We start from the raw sequence: 6,678 nt of genomic DNA, 5'->3' as shown, positions 1-6,678 counted from the left end.
CAAAAATATTTTCTTTCTTCATATTCTTATTCTATAAGCTTTTTTCTATTTTTAAAATTTTTAACTTTTTACTTTTACAGAAACACACACATTAGCCTAGGCCTACACGGGGTCAGGATCATCAATGTCACTGTCTTCCATCTCCACATCTTGTCCTGCTTAGAAGGTTTTCAGGGGCAATAATACCCACGGAGCTGTCATCTCCTGTAACAATGCCTTCTTCTCACAGACCTCCTGAAGGGCCTGCCTTATGCTGTTTCACAGTTAACTTTTTTTTAAGTAGAAGTACACTCTAAAATAATGACAAAACATATAGCACAGTAATGCATAAACCAGTAACCTAGCCATTTATTAAGTACTATATACCTTACATCATTTTATGTGCTAGATTTTTATATGACTGGCAGCACAGGTTTGTTTATACCAGCATCACCATAAACAACATGATTATCGTGTTGTGCTACCTTATGATGGCTATGATGTCACTAGGTGATAGGAATTTTTAGCTCCATTATAATCGTATGGCACCACCAACATATATGCAGTCCATTATTGACTGAAAAGCTGTTATGTGGTACATGGCTATATTTCGAAACAGGGCCTTTAAAGAGGTAACTAAGGTTAAGTGAGGTCATAAGGGTGGGGCCCTAAAGCCAATAGGATTGATGTCCTTATAAGAAGGGGAAGACACACCAGGGATACAAGTGCACAGAGGAAAGGCCATATAAAGACAGTGAGAAGGTGCCATCTGCAAGTCAAGGAGAGAAGTCTTTGAAGAAACCAAATCTGCTGATACCTTGATCTTGGATTTTCAGCCTCCAACACTGTGAGAAAATAAATTTCTGTTGTTTAACCTGAGTAGGGGTTGTGTTTTCTATTCCCATTTGCTGCAAGGTATGTTTACCAAAGGCTGTTTGAGTTTGTGACTGTAGTGGGTCAAATAGTGTTCCCCAGTAATTTATGTCCACCTGCAACCTCAGAATGTATTCTCACTTGGAAATCATGTCTTTGCAGATGTAATAGGTAAGTATTGAGATAAGCTGATATTGGATATGAGTAGGTTCTAAATCCAATGACAGTATCCTTATAAATGACAGAAAAGGACACAGAGACAGAAGGCCATGTGACGACTAGGCAGAGATTGGAGAGGGAGCATGGCCCTGCTGACGCCTTGATTTTGGATTTCTAGCCACCGGAAGTGTGAGAGAATAAATTTCTCATTTTAAGCCACTTGTGGAGTGGTAATTTGTTACAACTGCTCTAGGAAACAAATACAGTTACCAAACAAACTGATTATGCCAGGTGAACTTTTTATGATGATAATATGAGCCAAGGACGCAAGCGTGAAGAGTTCTAGTTTCTGTTAAAGCCAAGTTAAATACTTTGGAAAGACTAGATAAAAGTTTGTTGACTTTAAAAATTTAAAAAAAAAAAAAAGCTATTGGTTAACTGTGGGCAAAACTGCTCTAAAAGATTGGGGGAAAATATAGTAAAAATCTTCAAGAATTCTGCATCTGTGGTTCACACCTATGTAATGTAATGCATGTAATTTGTATAAGAAAGATAATTAGATTACAAGCTCCAGCTTGTAATCCCAGCTACTTGAGAGGCTGAGGTGGGAGGATCCTTGAGGCCAGGAATTCAAGAAAGACAATTAGAGAACATCTATCAGCAGACCTATATGGGAAGGCAGCTATGCTGTACCACTATATCACCAACAGCCCGACTGAGTAGATGTACACTAAAAAGTTAGAAAAAACCTGGATCCTATAGTAAATAAGTGGTAAATATAGAATATTTAAAGTTAAAATGTCTATATATGTACTTTTTATGACACCCTGATTTAAATAACTTTTTAGATTAACCAAACAACTAAAGGTTTCTGATGAGAGGGCTCCTGCTATACTATTAGAAGGCAGATTTGTACTATCTAAGAACAATTAACTTTATTTTTGTATTTATTCATTTTTTTGAGACAGAGTCTCACTCTGTCGCCCAGGCTGGAGTGCAGTGGCATGATCTCAGCTCACTGCAACCTCCGCCTCCCAGGTTCAAGCGATTCTCCGGCCTCGGCCTCCCAAGTAGCTTTAAATACATGTGGTTTTTACCTTGTCATCTCTTCCACTGCCACAGTTATACAGACGCATATGATTCCAGGAGATAATTTTCAGCTGATCAAATTTGTATCCTTACAAGGCTACACCTGTTTAGTCTCAAATTTTCCCTGGATGAAATCCTGGGTTAATTTTGTTGGAAGAGATGTGTGCCCATTACACACTCATTCCCAAATTTACCAAAATGCTATTTTTCATTTGCCCCATTAAAAGTGAGAATATCATATTTTGTCAAATTTTGAAAAGAAGCATATTCCCTCCTCTCCACCACTACTTTTTTTTTTTTTTCCCAGACAGGGTCTCACTCTGTCACCCAGGCTAGAGTGCAGTGGTGCAATCATAGCTCACTGCATGCAGCCTTGACTTACTCGGCTCAAGTGATTCTCTCACCTCATCCCTACAAGTAGCTGGGACTACGGACACATGCCACCATGCGTGGCTAATTTTTTTGTAGAGACAAGATTTCACCATGTTGCCCAGGCTGGACCATTACCTTTTTTTTTTTTTTTTTTAAAGTTAATTACAGCATTTGAGGAAGAGGATCTAATTCCACACAAAATGGAAGACTCTAAAATGTACCCATTAAACTGCTAAAAAATAAATTGAGTGGTGAGAATACCACATAAGCCCAGTTTAGATTCTGAGTGCTGTCACCCTGTGATTACAATTATACAGACTCTTCCAAGCTTATAGCTAGAGCTCCTGGAAGCTATTTTATACACTGATGCAAGGACAAAAAAACCACAACTCAGGAAGGAATTAAGTCCTGAATTATTGGCTTCATCACATCCACCCTCTCCACCCCAAAACAGCACAAAAGAAACAGTGACCACACCCTGTAGATCTTTTTGTGTAAAAGAGGTAATGAAGACCTGGGATGGGAACAAGTCATGAAGATCTGTCTTTAAAAGGTCCCTTTCAGGTAAATTTGTACACACCATCAAGCAACAAGCCTCTCATCAGTTAGGGTTAGGAAACCAAGGTTCAATTCTCAGGAAATCACAATTTCATTCATTTACTCAATATGAATTTACAAGGTGCCTATATATTATCAGCTTCCACTTGCAGCCATTTCTAGATAAAAAAGAAACCTGGCATCTCTACAGGGGCCACCAAGTTCCCCAAATCTACCACTGAAGGGACCTTTTTGGAACTGGGTTTCTTCTGTACCCCTGAAAGGGTAACACCTTAAAGCTGAATCATCTTTAACCTGGAGGTCCAATATGACATTTAGCAATACTTGCATCCCAGCCATACAACATTAAAAGATACACTAAATTGTGAAGGTATCTATGCTGCAAAATAATTTAAACAATTCTACAGCATTCATTTATGCTTGAAATTCCAGTCCTAGACCAAGCTTGTGGCCACTAGCATAGATGTTCTTGCCACCCAGGAGAGCTGACAGTGTCAGTATGAAACCTGGCTTTAGGGTTTAAGTGTATCCTAAACCTATCAGGCTGGAGTTGTTCACTTTAGTGGAGAAGTGGGCTTTAGGATCGATCTGATACTTGGCTGCTATTCTGAAGCGAGTGTTCCTGTTTCTTGCTGTCCCAGCGAGACTGACAGCAGTCTCCAACTTCTTGCTCACCTTCTGCTAATTGGAGCTGCCAAACTCTGTCCCGTCATTCACATTAGTGTGAAGCTGGAATTCATCAGTCTTGTGGCCAACCGCAAAGTTGCTCTGGGTCACTCAGGACTTTGTGGTCTCAAAATTGACCTGGTAGCTGGCCAGCCAATCCTCATAACCCAGCACTTAAGAGTGCCTCGGACTGAAGGCTCAGCAATGTCCAAATCCACGTCGCAGCCCAGGTTAATGTGCTCCCACTTGTATCCTGTCTTGATTTTAGCACTTTTCCCCCAGTGTTAGGCGAGAAGGATGAATGGAGGGTCAGCTTCAGTCCACATGCTAACTGGTCTTCCATAGTAATCTCGGTGCCTAGTGTGTTGTCAGTGTTCCATTTCTTTGCAAATGTCAGGCCATATTCGGTCTATCTGTACTTGGTTTCCAGACTGCCTGTCACTTTGGTGGTCTCAGTGTTGGCTGAGCCTGAGCTTGTAAATTCCAATCCATTCTCAGATTTTGTTTTCAAATCAGGTTTTATTAAGCCAAATCCATATCCCTTGGTGAAGACATGCTTGGCAGATTTGCCAAGATTAGCATATGTGAGTGGCACAGCCATCTTCTGCTCAGAGACAATGCCAGTGGGCTCAGAGGTGTCTATGGTGAGGGCTATGGCTCCACTACCTATTTTTAAAAACATTCTAGACACAAACTCCCTGGCAGTGAGCTTCAGGCCTAGCCAGGCCTTAGAAGAGATGTCATAATTTATTTTCTACCTTCTACTGTTCAGCTACATGTTACGCTGGAGGAACATAAAACAATGTTACTGAAAATATATGTCAACATACTAATGATATATAATGATTTATTTACTTTTGCCCTAATTACCCTTCTAAATGAAGAATTACAGATGTATTACTAGAGATAATGAATTATTTCTTTTTCAGAAAGTAAAGCTATTTGCTTTTTACTAAATGAACAAGTTAACAACAACAAAAAAGCACCAAGTACACGACCAATTAAAATGAAACTTAAACTAGCATGCTCTCTCTTCCGAAATAATAACAAAAATGCTATGGGATAAGTAAATTAATAGCTGAAAAATATTAACTCAACAAAATAATATTTTACTAAAATAGTTTATTGCAATAAGATTTTCACTGTATTCAAAATCAATACAAAGTAAGTTTTTAAAATTATGTACAAATGATTAAAACTATGTAATTAGGTGAGTAAACAGCATCAACACAATTTTAGCCTCTAAACCAATATGTAACTTTCTAAGGCTTTTTAATAAAACCTTAAAAAATATAGTGAAGAAATAGCAAAGAACATAGTTCATCATAGTTGTTGGAATTCACTATTTCCATAAGAATAAAAAAGTCCTCCATCAAGGTATATTTGAGACAAATAATTTATTATTTTGAAAGGTAGCTGGAGAAAAGTCTGATTCACTTCTGTTTACAGCAGTCTAGGGAACATTATAATTAAATAGCATATTTTTCCAAACTTCACACATCCTAGACCTATGTCTCCAACAGATTTTTCCTCAGTATTAATATGGTAAAGTACACTGAATTTTGTATTTTTATATATATATATGTATATAAAATATCTATATTGATTTTTAGTCAGTTTGGAACAAATGTCCATGTGTAACAAATTATTAACAATTCTGATATTTGCACGTGTATATATATATGCCCACAAAAACTGGTCTGTTGATGAATCTAAAAAAATATATTAAGATGCCAAATAAATTGATTTCATTATGAAATGAAGACTTTTATTAAGAATATATTTTATCAGGCATTTTGATAACAAACTGTTACTCTAAGTATAGGTGATTTACCCAGTGTATTTTAAAAAGTAAATGAATCCCACTGTAGTTTTTCTTGAAGGAAAAATCATTTCTCCAGTTGCTGAGGGGTACTAAAAGCTTCATACACATTAGCAGCAAAGTCTTTCACTTGCTCCATTGTCAACAGATCCTAGCAAAGATGATAATATAACATTATAGTTTGCAAAACATATAGCTAATTTGAATTAATTTCTGCAATCAAGCGATGAATTCAGCTCTAAGTTTTGTGGTAAAGGCCAAGAGGCAAACCATTTAAGAAAATGAGTAGTTTTTCTTGTAATAAATTCTAGGAGATAGTTATTATTTAGGTTCTTATATGAGGGATGATGGTATCATAAGCGTTCAAGTGTGACTTTGAGGGACAAAAACCCCAAATAGTCTTCAAATGAATTTTGGTGTATGTCAAGTGCTAGATAGGTATCTGTTGAATAAATAATTGTAGGAGTAAAGGTACTTTTGCTGGAAGCTGACATAACACGGTTAAGGGTGTATTACTTTCTAGAAGATCTAACATACGGTATGAATATGTGTAGTAAGTGCATATTTTACATATACACACATACATGAACCACACATATACACTATAGTGTAAGGGTTATTAACACCCCAAGGGATTTGCGAATGTGAAGATAAGAAAAAAATTACACCTTCATTTTCTTTAACTTCTAACCAAAATCTGGTATCTCTTTCAATTATGAATGTAGGCAACAAACTGTGATAATATTAGCAGGTTGTATGACTTTGTCTTCAATAGAAATCATAGGCATTTTCATGTCATATGACAGTTGTGGAAGTTATCAGAACTCTCATTATATCTTGGTATTTAATGCATGAATAAAGAAGCAATACCGCTATATCATACACTTAATTTTAAAAGAAATTTTGAAAACTATATATGATTGGTTTCCTTTATAATATTATGTATTTTATTGTATGCACTTATAAATATTGTTCTGAGAAGGGGTCCATAGGCTTCACCAGTCTGTGAAAGGGTCCATGATAGAAAAGGTTGACAGCCTCTGAGAGTGTCAAAGAAATGGGAAGTAAACCTGTCCCTAGTGATCTCTGTTTCTTAAGTATCGGAAAATCCAAGTGAGGTTTAGACATGTCCTAATCTCAATCAATTCATGGTTAAATTA

At 36.9% G+C, this 6,678-nt stretch overlaps 1 protein-coding gene and 1 pseudogene across 1 annotated transcript in view; both read right to left on the bottom strand.

The window, feature by feature from the left end:
- Positions 2,614-4,304, bottom strand: VDAC1P8 (voltage dependent anion channel 1 pseudogene 8; annotated as a pseudogene).
- Positions 4,196-6,678, bottom strand: part of PEX3 (peroxisomal biogenesis factor 3) — a 39,812-nt gene continuing 37,329 nt past the window's right edge. Inside the window, exon 12 of the mRNA NM_003630.3 lies at positions 4,196-5,669. Coding sequence (NP_003621.1) covers positions 5,586-5,669 — 84 coding nt within the window. The 3' untranslated portion in view covers positions 4,196-5,585. The remainder of the gene's footprint in view (positions 5,670-6,678) is intronic.

The sequence above is a fragment of the Homo sapiens genome, chromosome 6 (assembly GCF_000001405.40).
Source record: "Homo sapiens chromosome 6, GRCh38.p14 Primary Assembly".
NCBI classification, from domain to species: Eukaryota; Metazoa; Chordata; class Mammalia; order Primates; family Hominidae; genus Homo; species Homo sapiens.
Note: the sequence above shows the minus strand (reverse complement) of the source record. Positions and strands in the feature narration are given on the sequence as shown.